Source organism: Homo sapiens, chromosome 12 (assembly GCF_000001405.40).
Source record: "Homo sapiens chromosome 12, GRCh38.p14 Primary Assembly".
NCBI classification, from domain to species: domain Eukaryota; kingdom Metazoa; phylum Chordata; class Mammalia; order Primates; family Hominidae; genus Homo; species Homo sapiens.
Window position 1 is genome coordinate 103,930,298 of NC_000012.12, and position 19,896 is coordinate 103,950,193.

The 19,896-nt window shown below is 39.6% G+C and overlaps 1 protein-coding gene and 1 non-coding gene across 2 annotated transcripts, besides 2 other annotated features; both read left to right on the plus strand.

Moving 5' to 3' along the window:
* Positions 1 to 112: 112 nt before the first annotated feature.
* HSP90B1 (heat shock protein 90 beta family member 1) lies at positions 113 to 17,629 on the plus strand. The gene is made up of 18 exons (NM_003299.3): positions 113 to 267; positions 1,224 to 1,326; positions 1,980 to 2,121; positions 2,529 to 2,645; positions 3,659 to 3,990; positions 7,398 to 7,509; positions 8,043 to 8,162; positions 9,212 to 9,328; positions 11,113 to 11,250; positions 11,332 to 11,409; positions 11,535 to 11,600; positions 12,230 to 12,499; positions 12,777 to 13,022; positions 13,441 to 13,577; positions 16,321 to 16,399; positions 16,489 to 16,644; positions 17,014 to 17,133; positions 17,336 to 17,629. The coding sequence occupies exons 1-18, from the start codon at positions 219 to 221 to the stop codon at positions 17,363 to 17,365; spliced, it is 2,412 nt and encodes an 803-aa protein (NP_003290.1). The 5' UTR covers positions 113 to 218; the 3' UTR covers positions 17,366 to 17,629.
* MIR3652 (microRNA 3652) lies at positions 128 to 258 on the plus strand. Its single transcript, NR_037425.1, has one exon. It is a non-coding gene; the product is annotated as a microRNA 3652 (primary transcript).
* Positions 5,273 to 5,442: an enhancer, noted in NCBI's record as "experimental_23584 CRE fragment used in MPRA reporter constructs". NCBI's record gives its function as "activates a minimal promoter by MPRAs in K562 erythroleukemia cells, with activity observed for the introgressed 12:104329433 variant allele {active_cell/tissue: K562}" and the evidence as "EXISTENCE:reporter gene assay evidence [ECO:0000049][PMID:34662402]".
* Positions 6,997 to 7,166: an enhancer, noted in NCBI's record as "experimental_23591 CRE fragment used in MPRA reporter constructs". NCBI's record gives its function as "activates a minimal promoter by MPRAs in K562 erythroleukemia cells, with activity observed for both the introgressed and non-introgressed 12:104331157 variant alleles {active_cell/tissue: K562}" and the evidence as "EXISTENCE:reporter gene assay evidence [ECO:0000049][PMID:34662402]".
* Positions 17,630 to 19,896: the final 2,267 nt, after the last annotated feature.

Here is a 19,896-nt window from a genome sequence, read left to right on the forward strand (position 1 = left end):
ATCCTCATTGGGTGCCGTGGGTGCGTGGTGCGGCGCGATTGGTGGGTTCATGTTTCCCGTCCCCCGCCCGCGGGAAGTGGGGGTGAAAAGCGGCCCGACCTGCTTGCGGTGTAGTGGGCGGACCGCGCGGCTGGAGGTGTGAGGATCCGAACCCAGGGGTGGGGGGTGGAGGCGGCTCCTGCGATCGAAGGGGACTTGAGACTCACCGGCCGCACGCCATGAGGGCCCTGTGGGTGCTGGGCCTCTGCTGCGTCCTGCTGACCTTCGGTGAGTGATTCTGGAGGAGCAGACGTCCCCCCTCCACACACGCGGCCGCTTCTCGAAGGTCCTGGGGGCGTTGAACGTGGGAGGGGGGATCCCGGGGCCTGCGGTGGGCCAAGGGACGTCACCATTCCTCGAAAGAGGGCAAGGGAATTACGTTTATTCTCTTCTTCCTCTGGAAATAAAAAAAGAGAGCAACATCATCTAACTGCCCTACAGATCTAATAGTATCTCGCCCGGAGGTCTCAGCGACCTCGGGGTGGGGCCTCTCTGAGGCTCTGGCTCCCCCGGGAGCTGTGCGAGTCCCTCCCCCCTCCCCGCCCGGAGGACTTTTTCGGCCACCGCAACCTTCGGCCATCCCAGCTTTCCCGTCCCCTAATTCCCCAGACTCCGACTCCTCGCAAGCCCGTGTCCCTTCTTAGATGCTGGCCTCGGGAGCGTGAGGCCTGGGGCCAGCGGAATGGCAGTGTCAGCGTGTTTGATTCAGTTTTGCTGGAGTTCGGTTCTTAACATTTCTCCCCCTTCTCATGCCTCTGGGCTCAATTTCAGTTCCCCTCGCCAGAGGTTGCATAAATCCTATTTGCATTCTGACCTGTGCTAACGAAGGCCGAAGTTTTGGCTTGATCAGTTGGGAGGCCTTGGCTCGGCCTGCGCGCAACACGTGTGGGTGTAGAAGAGGCCTGGTATCAGTCTGCTTAACGTTATTTATAAATGATCGGAGACACACTGTTTAGAAGTGGTGACTGCCTCCGTATTTCAGGATCTACTGGAGACTTCAGCATCTGAACTTAAATAGATGTTCTGTCTTGGCTTTACCTTTGGTATTTAAACCAGGGAATGCACTCTTTCATCCCCACCTCCCTTAGTTACCAACTGAATTTTGCAACCCCTACCCTTCCCTATTTGATCATCCTCCTTGGAGAAGTGTGATGTTGAAGAGTTTGCCCGTGTTAAATCTTCAGGGTCGGTCAGAGCTGACGATGAAGTTGATGTGGATGGTACAGTAGAAGAGGATCTGGGTAAAAGTAGAGAAGGATCAAGGACGGATGATGAAGTAGTACAGAGGTTTGTGTTCATTTGAACTTACGTATACAGATAAGCCGTGTGAACCTTGTGAGTTACGGTCACTTCTTATGTATCTCTTCTCCAAAGGTCCAGATAAAGTCTAACACCCTGTATTTAAATACCCGGTGAGTTGTGTGCATACATACCTCCTAACTTGTCCCTAGGAGTGATGAAAACTGAGTGAATTCCTTTGAAAACTATATTGCAGAATACTAGCACCATAAACTTTGTAAGACTTTATAGAAGATACTTTCAGTTGGATTTGTATTCATTAACTGTGTACACCGAGTAAGTTTAAAAATGGGATTTCTGTCAGTTGAACAATATTTTAAAATTTGGCCTCTTGGGACTTATTGACAGTTTTGAAGTCCTCACTGTGGAGCATAAATGAGTATGACTTTGCTTTTTAGTAGAGGAAAGTTGGGATTTTTTTTTTTCTGGCAATTTTAAGAACCGAGTATTTCCAGTGTAATGTTAAAGGTAGCCTACTGCTGTGCTAACATAATGAGACGGTATATCAGTTATATTTTATAAAGGTTTCCATTTTAACCCCCAAGACAATATTCAGAGGCCCCTGTGCTTTCATCATAATTCCTCTAGTTTTGAAGGGAACTATGCCATGCAATATTTGCTTACCTAACTGATTTCCTTAGAGAGGAAGAAGCTATTCAGTTGGATGGATTAAATGCATCACAAATAAGAGAACTTAGAGAGAAGTCGGAAAAGTTTGCCTTCCAAGCCGAAGTTAACAGAATGATGAAACTTATCATCAATTCATTGTATAAAAATAAAGAGGTAAGCAACATGTGGTTAGAATATTTTATCTCTGTATGGTGGCATACTTGTTTACTTAAATTTGCTTAATTTACTGCAAAAGTAATGTAGTATCCAAGTAAGTAGGTAACAACCTTTAAATACCTAATATGTCCAAGAATTGCTACCAGATATCTGGGAAGAAAGGGAGTGTCAGACATTTTCCTTTTCCTTTACCTCTAAATAGGTTCACGGCCTGATAATAGTTGTGAGTCTAAGGGCAGTCACATAAACTAAACTTCTTGCATTGCATACCTGAAGATCACTGTTAGGTGAATAAGAGTGCTTTTATAAGGTACAGAGAAGAAATAAATGGGTTTGGCATAAAATCGAATATCTTAATGCATCTTGAGGATAGTCTAAGTGTATTCCCTCTGGCTTCCATTTAGATTTTCCTGAGAGAACTGATTTCAAATGCTTCTGATGCTTTAGATAAGATAAGGCTAATATCACTGACTGATGAAAATGCTCTTTCTGGAAATGAGGAACTAACAGTCAAAATTAAGGTAAGTGTAAGGCAGTTTTTCTTTCTTTTAAAGGAAAAGGAATCCTTAAAGGTAGAGGATCCCTATCAGTCAAGATAGGCTAGATTATTTTGCAGTGGCAAAAAAACCCCAAGTCTCAGTGGCTTGAAAGTCATCAAACTATGGCCAAATCTAACTTGACTTGTTTTTCTAAGTAGTTTTATTGGAATGCAGCCATGCCCATTTGTTTATTATCTGTGACTGCTTCTGTGCTTCAACAGCAGAGTCAAGTTGTTTTAACAGAGAACATAAATCTCCCAAAGCCTAAAATATTTACTGTGTGGCCCTTTACAGAAAAAGTTTGCCAGCCCCTGGCTTAAATCATTGATCACAGGCTGCCTGTGGTCTTTGCTCTGCCTCATCCTCAGGCTGGGACAGAGGCGTGGGCAGCCACCTGGAGTGTGTAGCCGGTTGCCATGGTGCAGAGCAAGCTTAGAGGGTCTCATACTATTATAATTAAAGGCTCAGCCTGAAAACAGAGCTCTCCTTTACAACTCATTGGCCATTTATAACTCATTGGCCAAAACTAGTCACATGGCCTTAGCCATTCTTAAATGGAAAGTAGAGTACTCCTAAGTTTCTGGAAGGCAGACAGCCAGGAATATTGAGTGAAGAATATTAATGATCCATCACAGATTCCAAATAGAGGAATCATTCAAGTTGTTTTGTATTCTAGTAAAGAAATAGGCAAGACATAAAATTTTATTTTTCTTGAATTGTTTTCCTTCAAAGGTAACTTGTTTTATTTAGGTCAGCCTCTAACCTTTGACATTTAGGCCAGTCTGCCCATTTGATATTAATACTTTCTCAAATACATAAATTACTTTAAGATGTACACTTTCAGAAAAGGCCATAAAAAACTATGTGGAGGAAAATATCTCAGTTTAGTTTTCTGTATTGGAATTGATGGGACCCAAAGCTGGTTAGTTCCTCAATATTTGTTTGGCATAATGTAAATATTAAATACAACTATCTGGTTCTTGTCTTGCATTTAGTGTGATAAGGAGAAGAACCTGCTGCATGTCACAGACACCGGTGTAGGAATGACCAGAGAAGAGTTGGTTAAAAACCTTGGTACCATAGCCAAATCTGGGACAAGCGAGTTTTTAAACAAAATGACTGAAGCACAGGAAGATGGCCAGTCAACTTCTGAATTGATTGGCCAGTTTGGTGTCGGTTTCTATTCCGCCTTCCTTGTAGCAGATAAGGTTATTGTCACTTCAAAACACAACAACGATACCCAGCACATCTGGGAGTCTGACTCCAATGAATTTTCTGTAATTGCTGACCCAAGAGGAAACACTCTAGGACGGGGAACGACAATTACGTGAGTATGACCAATTCCTTATAAGAATTAATAGTCATGGTGAGGATCTTGACTCTCCAGTTCTATTCTCTGAGCAAATGACTTATTCTGGGCCTTAATTTTCCTGCCTTATAAAATGAGGAAACAGAACTGTTGTCACTTGAAGAAATGTTTGAGGACCTGCAAAGGGCCAGGCACAAAGGTTTGTGATTGCTGTTGTACATGGAGGGTATAAAGTAGGAAATAGCAGCAGCTTCCCCAAGGGAGAAGGCTTCTTGGGTACCCACAGAGGAGGCACTGCTTGGTCAGTTTCCCAGGTTAGAAGAGTAATTTGTCTGTGGAGCATCCTGAATAAAGGCATGGAGGCATAGCATGCTCACTAGATGAACAGAGTTCTTTTCGGTGGCAGTTATGGATAGAATGTGATGAACTTTTATTTATTTATTTATTTTGAGACGGAGTCTCACTCTTGTTGCCCAGGCTGGAGTGCAATGGCACAATCTTGGCTCACCACAACCTCCGCTTCCTGGGTTCAAGCAATTCTCCTGCCTCAGCCTCCCAAGTAGCTGGGATTACAGGCATGTGCCACCACGCCCAGCTAATTTTGTATTTTTAGTAGAGATGGGGTGTCTCCATGTTGGCCAGGCTGGTCTCGAACTCCCGACCTCACGTGATCCACCCACCTCGGCCTCCCAAAGTGCTGGGATTACAAGCATGAGCTACCGTGCCCAGCCAGAATGTGATGAACTTTTTAAGATTCTCAAGGTGGTGTGGAGGATGTGAGGAGTGGACAAGGGGAGACTCTTTGGGGGAAATATTCCTCTTGAAAATATTCAAGATGAGTGGTAGCAACCAGGGCTGGGGCTGGCTTGTAGAGATAAAGGGCTTAAAGAAAGTTCATGAAAGTTGTGAAAGCTGTGGAATAAAATACGTCATTTAAGGATAGTTACAAGTTTTTAAATTTGAATTAAGATCCCTCTTAAGCCAGTAACTGTTGTTTGTATGGGTGAGACAGAGCCAGTGCCCTACAGTAGCTCTCGTTGCTTATAGCACTGTGACGTAGACAGGGCAGCTTTTTGCCTTTTTAAAATTTTACCATCTTGGAGATGAGGAAATTCTATTTCAGAGGTCAGTTGGCTTGCCAACTCCTGCTAAGTGAGTAACAGAATGTGCCCACAGCTTCAATTTTTTTTTCTTAATTCAGTTTTAAGTTTTCTTAACATTAAGGGAAAGAAGCACATACTTATCATTGTGACCAACTTTCTTCATCCTAGAAAGTAACATTTCCTGTTTTTACTGCAGCAGATGTTCTTTTAATGAAGACTAATTAGATGACTGCATTTTAGTACTTTTTTAACTTGTGTTCCCAATTTACCTTCCCCTGCCTTCGTCACTAACATTGATGTCTCCAGGTTTCATTTGGAGGCATCACTAAGAGTTATGCCCCAGTGCCCTCTCTTTTTAAGCACTGGGCTAGATGTTGGAGAAGGATAGGGCAATCATTCCCAAGGAAAGATAGAAAGTGATGTCCCAAGAGATGTTAATGTCAGGTTGCTAAGAAGCAGGTGAAATTATCTGGATATAAGCTCCATGAAGGCAAACATTTTGTTGGAAGCTCCATTCCCAAAGCTTAACACTTAATTGGCAGCCATTTGTATGAATAAGTGAGGTTAAACAGGACAGTTCCATGCAGGGAACGATGGCTGCTAACACCTATCCAGGACCTAGTTTCCATGACCATGCATATCTTTTTAAAAATTTCCTTTGCCCACTTCTTAAATGTTAACATACATTTTCTCCAAGTTAAGTTTCAGCCCTTTTCTCATTGTCCATGTGATCTTTATGTAGTCTTATCCACTGCCACGGCCTCAGGTTCCATCTCTAGTTCTCAAATTTATATTCTTAGCCTAGATCAGGAGTTAGCAAACTTTTTCTTAAAAGAGCCAGCTAGTAGAAAAAAAGATAAAAGAAAACAACAAGAAAGAAAGAGCCAGCTAGTAAATATTTTTAGCTTGTGAGCTATATGGTCTGTCACATGTCCCAACTCTGTTTAGCTTGAAAGCAGGCATAGACAATACATAAGGATGTGTCCCAGCCAAGTGTGGTGGCTCATCCCTATAATCCCAGCACCTCGGGAGGCTGAGGTGGGAGGATCACTTGAACCCAGGAGTTTGAGGTCAGCCTGGACAACATAATGGGATCCCATCTCCACAAAAATAAAAAATAAAAAATTAGCTTGGCACAGTGGTGCATGCCTGTAGTCCCAGCTACTCAGGAGGCTGAGGTAGGAGGATTGCTTGAGCCTGGCAGGTCAAGGCTGCAGTGAGCCATCATCACGCCTGGGTGACAGAGGTCCAAAAAAAAAAAAAAAAAAAAAAGTGTCCCAATAAAATTTCTAATGGGTGCCAGCTGTACAGCTATAGCTTGCCAGCCCCTTGTCTAGGTCTCACTACTGGGCTCTGTGTTCATGTGTTTAATTGCCTTTTAAATGCTTCTACCTAAGATATCTAACCAGCAGCTTCTACTTGCATCCAAAACTGAACTCTTAATCCCCAAATCACTAGAACATGTGCTCTGAGACCAGGGGCCTAGTCACTCACTAGGCTTTGTCATATCATGGCTACTTATTGGCCAGGTACCACTAAACTAATGAGCCTTTTGAGACAGGGAGGGAACCATAGATAGACCATTTCCCATACTTAATTGGGAACACAAGTATCAAGATATGGACTACCTACTGTGCTTAAGAGTAGGTTCTAGGCCGGGCACAGTGGCTCACACCTGTAATCCCCGCACTGCCCGGTAGAATTTTATATAATAGTAGAAATGTTCTATATCTGCACTTTTCCATTTTGGCGATCACCAGCCACATGTGACTGTTGAGTACTTGGAATGTGGCAGCATAACTGGAACTGAACTGTACATTTTATTTAAATAAGTCACATGTGCCCAGTGGCTGCCATTTTGGATAGTGCAGATATAAATATAAACCAGATTAATTTTCTAGCTTTTTTAAGGAAAATGTTTTCATTAATTAGGAATAGTTATCTACAATAATCATTAGGTTTCTGGAATAACAGTAAGAGCTATGAGAGTGCATGATTCCATTTCTCTCCAGAATATTTCAGTGCTTTCTCACCTTGAAAAATGAAAACAATCTATTCAGACGGTTGGGAATATTTTAATTTTCTACTTAAAACTAAGGTTATTCTCCACTTGAGGTAATGTAGAGGAGATTCTTCTCTTTACTGTATCTACATGTGTTACATTTTAGCTCACAAACCCTTGTTGGTGATGGAGAGTTAACATGAATAATTAGGACATCTTGGATTATACTGAACTGCTGGCTATTACCATGGTATTTAAATGAATTTATAATCAGATCTTCTAAATGTTAGGTGTCTCTAAACATCGAATTTTTCTTGCAGCCTTGTCTTAAAAGAAGAAGCATCTGATTACCTTGAATTGGATACAATTAAAAATCTCGTCAAAAAATATTCACAGTTCATAAACTTTCCTATTTATGTATGGAGCAGCAAGGTAAATCTATATTGATTAAAAACTTATATGTATTACCTTGGCACGTATTTAAATATTCAACACTAAAAGAATGAAGGCAGGCCGGCGCGGTGGCTCATGCTTGTAATCCCCGCACTTTGGGAGGCCGAGACAGGTGGATCACCTGAGGTCAGGAGTTCGAGACCAGCCTGGCCAACATGGCGAAACCCTGTCTCTACTAAAAATACAAAAATGTTAGCTGGGTGTGTGGTAGCACACGCCTGTAATCCCAGCTACTCGGGAGGCTGAAGCAGGAGAATTGCTTGAACCCGGGAGACGGAGGTTGCAGTGAGCCAAGATCGCCCCACTGCACTCCAGCCTAGGTGACAAAGCAAGACTCTGTCTCAAAAAAAAAAAAAAAGAATGAAGGCAAAATGTGGTCTATTAGTTAAGGATACTCTCAGGGTTTTCTTACAAAAACCTATTTTTTGACCTGTAATGTTATATCATATTCTGTAGACAAAATCAGAATTGTTAAACAAATGAGTTTAACCATAATTCTCTTATTTCAACAGACTGAAACTGTTGAGGAGCCCATGGAGGAAGAAGAAGCAGCCAAAGAAGAGAAAGAAGAATCTGATGATGAAGCTGCAGTAGAGGAAGAAGAAGAAGAAAAGAAACCAAAGACTAAAAAAGTAAGTCTGGTTTATCTCCCTGCATAAGATATTGTTTAACATGTATAGGCAAAACCAGGAAAACCTAAGTATGCACTGGCTGATTTGAAGTCAGCTTCAGTTCAGGTGCTAAGTCCATGGAGCCAGCTTTTAAAATAAGGCCTTTGTTTGTATGTTGAATACATTGTCCTGTAGAAAGTTTTAAGTATCAAACCCAGGTCATTTTTATGAAGAGTTTTCTAACTTTTATATATTGCCTAGGACTGGTGGCTTATATGTTTGGAATTTTAAAATCTTAAAAAGCCTTCTGAGTCCTCTTTTGTCTTTTTATCATGCAGAGATTAACCATAAAAATGGTTCTCTGGCTTGCTTAGGTAGCAGACTAAGAAGTATTGATCATGGTGGTTGAGAAATATTTTTGTAAAATGTTGGATTTCTTTAAGTCATGAAATGGGAATATATAATATGTATTTCCTTCTAACCTCAAAACAAATATTTTCAAGAAACATTTTTGCTAGTTAAAAAATAACAATGAAGAAAAACTTAAGTGGCTTTTCATCAGTTAACAATTGTCTTTTTGAATTAAATATTGAGAAAAATACTTTGCTTTTGATACAGTTGGCAGAAACCTTACTAGATAACAGGTATCCTTTGGTGCCCTTTTTTTTTTTTTCTTTAATTTGGAGACAGAGTCTCTGCCACCCAGGCTGGAGTGTGGTAGCACGATCATAGCTCCCTTCATCCTTGAACTCCTAGGCTTAAGCAGTCCTTTCACCTCAGCCTCCCAAGTAGCTAGGACCACAGACACACGCCACCATGACTGGCTAAGTTTTAAAAATTTTTTGTATAGTTGGAGGTCTTGCTATGTTGCCTGGACTGGTCTTGAACTCCTAGGCTCAAACAGTTCTCCTACCCTAACCTCCCAAAGTGCTAGGATTACAGGCGTGAGCCACCACACCAGTCCTCTGGGTCTTTACATAGTCTTTTGAAATCTACTGAAGCCATGGTTACTGCTAGGATAACCTTGGTGAGTGCTGAGAGAGACTAATCAAATACTATAATAACTTCAGGTTGAAAAAACTGTCTGGGACTGGGAACTTATGAATGATATCAAACCAATATGGCAGAGACCATCAAAAGAAGTAGAAGAAGATGAATACAAAGCTTTCTACAAATCATTTTCAAAGGTAAATATTTATAATTCCCTAGTTTCTGGTTATTAATGAATAGACAAAATATCACCCTCTTAGTTTAATTGTATATGGTATGTGACCATGAATATGAGATGGTCCATTCCCATTTTTTCCCAGTGAGAAAATTCAAAAAAAGACCTTTAGGCCAACTATAATATGTCTACTTCTGGTTTATTGACCTAGTCACAATTAAAATCACATTTATGAACCTTTGAGATTGACACCTCAGTAGAGATGGTCTTTGAGAGTAATTGGTTTCCAGAACACACCATTTTTACTTAAGTTGAATTATTATACTCATCACTACTTCAAAATTGCAGCAGTTATTAAAATTAGTCCTAGCTCTTAGTGAATAGTGAAACTACAAAATCAAGAATGTTTGAAACAGTTTTATGGCTGTTTAAACACAATTGGTTTCCTTTTTATTCCTGTGTATTTTGTAATATGTGATTTTTTTAAAAAAATTATTTTGAGAAGGCATCTGTAGCCTTCACCAGCTTGCCAAGGGTTTTGTGTGACAAAAAAAGATTAAGAACCACCTACATAGGTAGATGTGTGATTTCCACCACAAAACCCGTAAAACATGAAATCATGTTGTTAAGTGGCTTTTAATATAATCTTTAAAGAGCTTGCTTATGACATCAAACACTTATTGTGAGATCCTATGCCTGGGAATAATTACTAAATTTATGTTTCCTTGCCTGTTTTTTTTTTTCTTCTTCTTTTATTGATCCCTTCTTGTAACTCTTAAGGATGCAAAACTAGCATTGATAAAGTTTGTTTAAAGTTAATGTTTCCCCAGCAGCATTTAGTACAAGCAGTAGAATGCTCTAGTGGACTTAACCATAGCTAAATAAAACTTAATATTCTGTGTCTGTATTTGTTCTTTTCTCTATTCCATATCCTTTAAATTTCAACTCTTAAAACACTGTTGGTTCTGCCTTCACTTTTATTTCCATAAACTCTAAAGTCCTAGTGTCTATAAACTTACTTCATATAAAGCAGCTGTATTAGAAATATAATTAATGTGAGCCACACATGATTTGAAATTTTTTAGAAGCCATACAAAAAAAGGAACCATGAAATGTTAATAGTATAATTTATTTAACCCAGCATACCCCAAATAGTATTATTTCAACATAATCAATATAAAAACTAATAATGAGACATTTTATATCCTTTTTAAAATTTGTACTGTGCCTTCAAAATGTATTTTACACTTTAATAGCACATCTGAATTTGAACTAGCTACATTTCAGTGCTTAACAGCCATATACAGTAATAGATAATGCAGATCAAGAGAATTTCCAACTTTGTTTTACAGGTATTTACATACATCTTTGTAGCCACTCTTAGAGCTAAGTTCCATGGAAGAAACATGTTCTTGAGTACTTACTGTAGTTCAAGGGCACACTGAAGTGTTGTATGTAATTTTGTCATTTAGGCAGGGTGGTGGTTTTCCTATTCACTTCTCTCATACGTAAGAAGTATAAACTCATCCTTCCTTCTGAGAGTTTAGGAAATAATGTTATTGACAATCATCATCAAAACAACCATGTCTAGTGAATTAGAATTGCAATTCTAGATATTTCTTCACTCCACCCTTTTCTTTCTCTTCCCCCCACCCTTTTCTTTCTCTTCCCCACCTCCCGCCAGTAAAGGAAAATTTTTTGTTAGTTAATTGCTAAACTGAATATGTACCACATAGTACATTGCTTAGTTCTTGCACTGCTTTTCTCCTGTGTCGTTTGAATGACTAAGATACCAACTTTCCACAGGAAAGTGATGACCCCATGGCTTATATTCACTTTACTGCTGAAGGGGAAGTTACCTTCAAATCAATTTTATTTGTACCCACATCTGCTCCACGTGGTCTGTTTGACGAATATGGATCTAAAAAGAGCGATTACATTAAGGTGAGTTTTTAAGTAGTACATGCTGCGTTTAAAATTTGAAAGTTTAATTTCCAGAAAGTGACTTTTTTTTGGTCTCTTTAGCTCTATGTGCGCCGTGTATTCATCACAGACGACTTCCATGATATGATGCCTAAATACCTCAATTTTGTCAAGGGTGTGGTAAGTATCTGAAGTTTGGGAGAAGGGGTGATTGTTGTGGGGGTCTGGCAGTGTAGAGTGTTTGTTTGGCTTTGCTTTCTTCCAGTGGTTTTATTGCTCACTGAACTTTCTTTTGCCATCTGAAGGTGGACTCAGATGATCTCCCCTTGAATGTTTCCCGCGAGACTCTTCAGCAACATAAACTGCTTAAGGTAAGTGTCTCTGGGAAGAAACTCTCCACTTTGCTGTTTGATTGGGGTTCAGAGGACAGGCTCCATTTGTGGAGTAAAACCAGATTTTGGGTCTGGTCCATGATTCTTCAGATGAATTTCCTTTCTTTCTGGAGTTATCAGATCCTAAGAATCTGATTCTTTTTCTCCCAACATTTAATAATGAAGTTTCAAACATCTAGAAAAAAATTAAAGAATTGTACAGGTCCAGGATTAACATTTTGTCATCTAGACACATAGCCACCTTTTTATCAAGCCTTTCATTAAACCTTTCCCCTCCAATACTTCCATAATTAGAAGACTCTTTAGTTTTTGAATTTAAAAGTATTTGAAAGTAGCATATTTGTTCACTTCATTTAGATGCTAGAGAGAGAGTATCACTGAGTCCTAAGGTTAGAATATAAACATTAAGGCAATCTTGTGGCTATTTGCACGGACAGCTGAATTTCAGCCCAATCTGAATGAATTGGAGTGCTTCACCATTTCCTGCCCCTCAATAAATGGCAATAACGATATCGTCTTTGTGTTTTTCACACTCCTGCCTGGGTACCTTACATTCTCAAAAGTTGGAGATTAACTTCTCTAATCAGTTATTCTTTCATTGTGTTTAGGTGATTAGGAAGAAGCTTGTTCGTAAAACGCTGGACATGATCAAGAAGATTGCTGATGATAAATACAATGATACTTTTTGGAAAGAATTTGGTACCAACATCAAGCTTGGTGTGATTGAAGACCACTCGAATCGAACACGTCTTGCTAAACTTCTTAGGTTCCAGTCTTCTCATCATCCAACTGACATTACTAGCCTAGACCAGTATGTGGAAAGAATGAAGGAAAAACAAGACAAAATCTACTTCATGGCTGGGTCCAGCAGAAAAGAGGTGAGATGAACTCATAAGTGTTGTCAGCCATTCTGGAAGGTAGCTAGGGATTTATAGCCAACTCTTGAGGGGGAGAAAAGGAAAACTTAATTGTGTAACTGGAGTAGTTATAAGGCCTGGTCAGTCACTGACAGGAAGGTCATTTATATTCTCTGAACCTCTTAATTCTTCACCTGTAAAATGGAGTTTTTAATAATGTATAAACATAGCAGCTGCTAGGATAAACAAATACACCAGGGCCAGACTTGGAAAACTTTGTGACTTCTTAATTTTGTAGGCTGAATCTTCTCCATTTGTTGAGCGACTTCTGAAAAAGGGCTATGAAGTTATTTACCTCACAGAACCTGTGGATGAATACTGTATTCAGGCCCTTCCCGAATTTGATGGGAAGAGGTTCCAGAATGTTGCCAAGGAAGGAGTGAAGTTCGATGAAAGTGAGAAAACTAAGGAGAGTCGTGAAGCAGTTGAGAAAGAATTTGAGCCTCTGCTGAATTGGATGAAAGATAAAGCCCTTAAGGACAAGGTACTGTGGAAATTACAAATTGTGGAAATATTAGTATCAGCATTTAAGAGAAAGTTATTTTGTGAACAAATTAAGCTGCAGCTGGTTACTTTGTAACCATTAGAATGGTAAAAATTTAATTAATGTAATTAAATTATTGGGAGAAAGCTTAAAACTTTCGACAATACTGCTTTGTTAATAACTTGTTACAAATTAAATTTTATGTTTTTAAAAGGTGGTATTTAAACTTCTGACTAGAAAATTCAGATTATCAAGTAAGTGCCCCTACAAATTCTCCTAAACCTTAAGAAAAGCTATTTTTATGACCTGCTTCTGTGTTTATGATCTTAAGTGATAAAGTCTTAGACAGTTGAAAGACAATTGCTCAATGACCTTACCTGTTGATATTAATTTATATGACTTGATTTCTTTCCCTAAGATTGAAAAGGCTGTGGTGTCTCAGCGCCTGACAGAATCTCCGTGTGCTTTGGTGGCCAGCCAGTACGGATGGTCTGGCAACATGGAGAGAATCATGAAAGCACAAGCGTACCAAACGGGCAAGGACATCTCTACAAAGTAAGCATCCTCGGGAAAGTCCCTGCCAGGGCGTTGCCCCTTACCCAATCTTTGTTTTGGAGATAATACCAGCTTCAATACAAAGAGTAAAATTGCCTTAAATGTCTACCACTGTCTACTATAAGGTAGACAACAAGTTTACGAAGGGATTTCTCCTACATTTGATTGAGAAAGAAAAGGTCTTTGACTCATGATTTTCTGATTTTATTGTATTTGATATGTAAATGGGAATTTTCTTAATGTGTTATGCATAGTCTTTACTTTTGCATTGGATTATATGCTTAGCCTAATATCTGAATTTATTTTACATTTTTAAATGTAATAGCTGCACGAGGTTAATGACAACATTCCTCAAGTGAGTTAAGTCCATTTCAAATCACGTCCCCCACACCCCCAAGCATTAAATTATGGGTATCCAGATAGAATGTCTCATAAAGTAGACGGTACAGGACCTGTGAATTAACAGTATTTGAACTCAAGGGCCTATACCTGGAGGTATAGTGAGTCTTTGGTACTCTTTATTTTCAAGAAATATAGTATTTCAAGTTTATGTTTTAATGTCACAGCAATGATCTTGAAAATGACTTCTCCCCTACTTTTATTCTCTCTTCTTTCACCTGGAGTATGTTTCTGATATGCTATCTAGTCATCATCCTTTTTTCCCAAGGCCTAGCTTAAGGATTCTTTTTTTTTTTCCCCCGAGACAGAGTCTTGCTCTGTCACCCAGGCTGGAGTACAGTGGCGCAATCTCTGCTCACTGCAACCTCCGCCTCCTGGGTTCAAGTAATTCTCCTGTCTTAGCCTCCTGAGTAGCTGGGATTACAGGCACCTGTCAGCACACCCGCTAATTTTTGTATTTTTAGTAGAGACGGTGTTTCACCATGTTGGCCAGGCTGGTCTCGAACTCCTGACCTCATGATCCGCCCTCTGCGGCCTCCCAAAGTGCTGGGATTACAGGCGTGGGCCACTGCGCCTGGCCAGGATTATTATTCTTAAAGCCTTTTCTCACAAATGTAGTCTCCATTGTTGTCACAATTCTAAAATTCCATATATGTCTTTTAACTATAAATTTCATGCAGAGAATAGTGTTCTGTTTATCTGATATCCCATTGCAATAGTACAAGGGCCATTTAAAACATGTCCACCTATTAATTTCAGGAAATGATTAATAGGAAGTTACCTTGCATCCAACAAACATGAAGACTTACTATGTCCATGCACTGATGGTCACAGGTAGACATAACTCCTGTCTTTTCTAACATTTAGACTAGTGAAAATGACAAATCAAAGCCAGGCATGGTGACTCACTCCTGTTGTCACTCAGGAGGCTGATGCAGGAGTATCAGTTGATTCCAAGAGTTCGAGGCTGTAGTGTGCTGTAATGGCATTGCACTCTAGCTCTAGCCTGGGTAACATAGCCAGACTCCGTCTCTTTTTTATTTAAAAAAGAGGAAAAAAAGCAAGTCATAATCCGAGCCCTACATAGATAATGGGTACACCAGGATAGGGAAGGATGTGGTTCCTCCCTGTCCTCAGAGCTTTAAACTAGAGAAGAGAGAATAATCACAACCAACAGTAAAAAGCTAAGGATTTTGAAGGTATATTCAAAATGCATTTGGAACTGAGCTCAGATAAAGTTAATTTTTCTTGGAATCATTGGCGAAGGCATCGTGGAGAAGGTATTATTATTGGAGCACAATCCAGAGGCTACATAGATTTTTCTGAACTTGGGGAGGCAGAGCTACAATTACGGTAGTAAGAATAAACTAAGAGGGAACAAACAGGACATTAAATCAGTTCGTCTGTTCAGCAGTGCTCCAGGTACTTGGGACTCATCAGTAAATAAAATAGTTCCCTTCATTTCATTTTTCATCTAACCGTGTCCACTTGCTCCCCACCCCACCTCCCCGTTAAAAGGGAGCAATACAGGCTGGGCACATGGCTCACGTGTGTAATCTCAACACTTTGGGAGGCTGAGGTGAGAGGATCACTTGAGGCCAAGAGTTCAAGACTAGCCTGTGCAATATAGTGATACCCTGTCTCTATAAAAACTAAATAAGGAAACAGTGCAGTCATCCCTTTTTGTCCATGGGGTGTTGGTTCCAGAACATCCCATGGATACCAAAATCCACACATAGTCAAGTCCCTTAGGTAAAGTCGTGCCGTATTTGCATATAACCTATGCACATCTTCCCATGTACTTTAAATAATCTATAGATTACTTTTAATACCTAATGCAATTTAAGTGCTATGTAAATAGCTATTATACTGTATTGGGTTTTTTATTTTTTTCTTGTTTTGCCCTTTCTAATATTTTCAATCCGAGGTTGATTGACTCTGCAGATAAAGTAGACTGGAAAAGTACAGTCGTCCTTAGGTGTATGAGGGAGATTGGTTCTAGGACCCCTGCCAAAATCCACAAATATTCTAGTCCCCCAGTCTGCCCTGTGGAACCCGTGTATATGAAGAGTGGGAGCTCTGTGTGTGTGGATTCCACATCCCAAGAATACGGTATTTTCTATCTGAGTTTGGTTGCTGAACCTGCACATACGGAGGGCGGACTGTATTTATTGGAAAAAAAATAGCATATAAGTTCAAACCTGTGGTGTTCAAGTGTCAATAGTACATTTTGATTTTTTTTTTTTACCAAGAGTTGTTCTGTGTAATTATGAAAGAATAAGGGAAACGTATGAACCCTAAAATTGGATATGTTTTGTTAATGTTCATTTTTATCTCTTAACAGTTACTATGCGAGTCAGAAGAAAACATTTGAAATTAATCCCAGACACCCGCTGATCAGAGACATGCTTCGACGAATTAAGGTAGTATTAAAGCAGTCCTCTTGCTTGTCTTTTAATTTGAGTACTTTGTATCTTTTAATATTAATCTAGTGCATCTTCTTGCATTTCAGGAAGATGAAGATGATAAAACAGTTTTGGATCTTGCTGTGGTTTTGTTTGAAACAGCAACGCTTCGGTCAGGGTATCTTTTACCAGACACTAAAGCATATGGAGATAGAATAGAAAGAATGCTTCGCCTCAGTTTGAACATTGACCCTGATGCAAAGGTTTGTATCCCCAACCTTCCCGCAAAGGCTGGCTGGCTTTCTTTGTTTCTGTTCTTTCAGAATAGGCCTCTCATGATTGAGGGATGTAGCTTTGCGACATTTGCCTAATTTCTACCTTTTGAAAGAATTTTATTGAATGTTTGAATCCCTGTAGTGTCAGGCACTGCACTAGAAACTAAGTCCTCCTTTTACGTCCTCTTTCCTTTTTGCCTGCCTCCTTTTGTTAGCTTGGCTGTTCATTCTAGTTAAGAGGATTTAGTCTGTGGTTCTGAATAAACAGAAGTGACATTAATTATGATTTTATACATATAAATGAGCAAAGTGGAAATAAATCCAAGGCATTAATGGGCCCATAAATGTTGTGTTTAGGTGGAAGAAGAGCCCGAAGAAGAACCTGAAGAGACAGCAGAAGACACAACAGAAGACACAGAGCAAGACGAAGATGAAGAAATGGATGTGGGAACAGATGAAGAAGAAGAAACAGCAAAGGTATGGCAAATCAAGAATGTGACTTGCATTTTCAGTTCTGGCAAAGTTAGGACAGAGTTTTAGTTCTGGCAAAGTTAAGACTGTGTAACTTACAGAAGTCAGACTGAGCATTTAAATTGTTTATTTCATGCACAAACCTGTGAGCTAGGTTTTTTTTCTGCTAACTTTTAATACCTTCTGGGTTTTTTTTATTTATTTACAGGAATCTACAGCTGAAAAAGATGAATTGTAAATTATACTCTCACCATTTGGATCCTGTGTGGAGAGGGAATGTGAAATTTACATCATTTCTTTTTGGGAGAGACTTGTTTTGGATGCCCCCTAATCCCCTTCTCCCCTGCACTGTAAAATGTGGGATTATGGGTCACAGGAAAAAGTGGGTTTTTTAGTTGAATTTTTTTTAACATTCCTCATGAATGTAAATTTGTACTATTTAACTGACTATTCTTGATGTAAAATCTTGTCATGTGTATAAAAATAAAAAAGATCCCAAATACTCAGTGTCTTGACTGTCTTGCAGAGAACTACCTAATACTTGGCTGAATTTTTTTTTTTTTTAATCATGTGTCTTGGGTTCTTTTTCTTAGAAAAGTGACTCAGGCTTATGACCTTTTTTTTTTTTGAGACCAAGTCTCACTTTTGCCCAGGCTGGAGTGTGGTGGCGCAATCTCTGCTCACTGCAACCTCCGCCTTCCGGGTTCAAGCAATTCTCTGCCTCAGCCTCCTGAGTAGCTGGGATTACAGGTGCCCGTCACCACACCCGGCTAATTTTTTGTATTTTTAGTAGAGACAGGGTTTCACCATCTTGGCCAGGCTGGTCTTTGAACTCCTGACCTCGTGATCCACCCACCTCCGCCTCCCAAGAAAAGATTTTTTTAAAAAATCAAAGGTTGAGCCAGTCATGGTGACACACACCTGTGGTCCCAACTCCTGAGGAAGCTGAGGCAGGAGGATTATTTGAACTCAGGAGCTTGGGACTGTTGAAAAACCAAAGAGTTTAAAAAGTCTTCCACAGGGAGAAGAGAGAATTTCCTTAAAGATTTCCAAATATATGTAGATATTCCCCCTTTCATAGGGTGGAGCTTAATCTTCTCCTTTTTGAATGTGGGCTAGATTAAGTGACTCCTAAAGAACAGAGTATGGAAAGGGAAAAAGTAACTTTGCAGTGGAGAAACCTGGCAGACTTAACCAAGTGATCAATGTTAATATCACCAGTGATGTGTACCCCCGATAGGATGTGAAGTGAATTGTACTGCTGTGGTTTCCAAAAACCTGTAATCTCAATCTAATGAGAAAAACAGACATATTTAGAATATGTGAACAGTATTCTTCAAAATTTCCAGAAAATTTTTCTCAGAAAAACAGGCTGAGAAGTAACCATGGACGGCAGAAGACTAAAGATACATGACAACTATTAATAAATGCAATGTGGTACCCTGGAAACAAAAGGATGTTAAATGGAAAAACGTGAAATCTAAAGTCCGGAGTCTAGAGTACAGTTGAGAGTATTGTACCAATATTGGGTTTTGTTTTGAGACGGTGTCACTGTCTCCTAGGCTGGAGTGCAGTGGTACGATCTTGGCTCACTGCAACCTCCACCTGGATTCAAGCGATTCTCCTGCCTCAGCCTCCTGAGTAGCTGGGATTATAGGCACCCGCCACCACGCCTGGCTAATTTATTTTTAGTAGAGATGGGGTTTCACCATGTTGGCCAGGCTGGTCTTGAACTTGACCTCAAATGATCTGCCCACCTCGGCCTCCCAAAATGTTGGGATTACAGGCATGAAACACCACGCCTGACCCCAATACTGGTTTCTTAACTGACGTACCATGGTAGCTTAAGATGACAACATTCATAGAAACAGCGTGGCGTATATGGGAACTCTACTAGATGTGGTTTTTCTGTAAATCTAAACTTAAAAAAAAAAAAAAGCTATCTTTGAAAAAAATCACCCATAATCCTACCAGAGATAACTATTGGCACTGAGTGAAAATCCACATTGACCTATATTTTGAAATGTACTCTTGTTTATGAAACAATTTTTAATTTCACTAGTCTGTTACAGCCAACTGAAATGGTAGTCTTAAGTTTTTGTTGTTTTTACTGTGGGCTAGAGAGAGATGTCTTAACTGTACATTTAAGGATCATGTGTGTATTAGAAAATTTTACACAATTTATGTGCTACAAAGTTTCATTAGAGACTTTACAGTTTTTCTGATGATCTAGTACTTCTCTATGGACTTCTTTTTCTGTTGATGCTTCCCTACCCCCTCCCTACCTTAAGGTATTTTTCTAGAATTAGTTTGCAATAATCATTACCAGCTTCCCTACTTGAGCGTACGTCTTCTGAAAACCACCCTGCTTTTCCCTTTGTGGTAGAATGGCAGCTCAGTTACAGAAACATGCTATAATTAAGGTATATATAGCTTCCTTTTATGATACAGGCTTATATTAATTGCTACTTGAAATGTTTCCCATTTTGGGGCCACTATGCATTACCATTGTTAATACTGCTATGATATACTCATAGAAATCAAAGCCATCAGATCACATTGAATTAGTGATATCTGACACTTTAGCTCCTCAGAATCCTACAATTTCTAAATTTCTGCTGTTCCTAGCAGGAAAGCATCATACTCCTTCAGTTTTTGATAAACAGCTCAATCATACCTGTCTTGCATAAAAACTGTTTAACTGGCCTAATTTAATTACCAAACAGGTTGCAACTGGTCTATCTTGGCCTTTTAAGTTAAAAAACATTA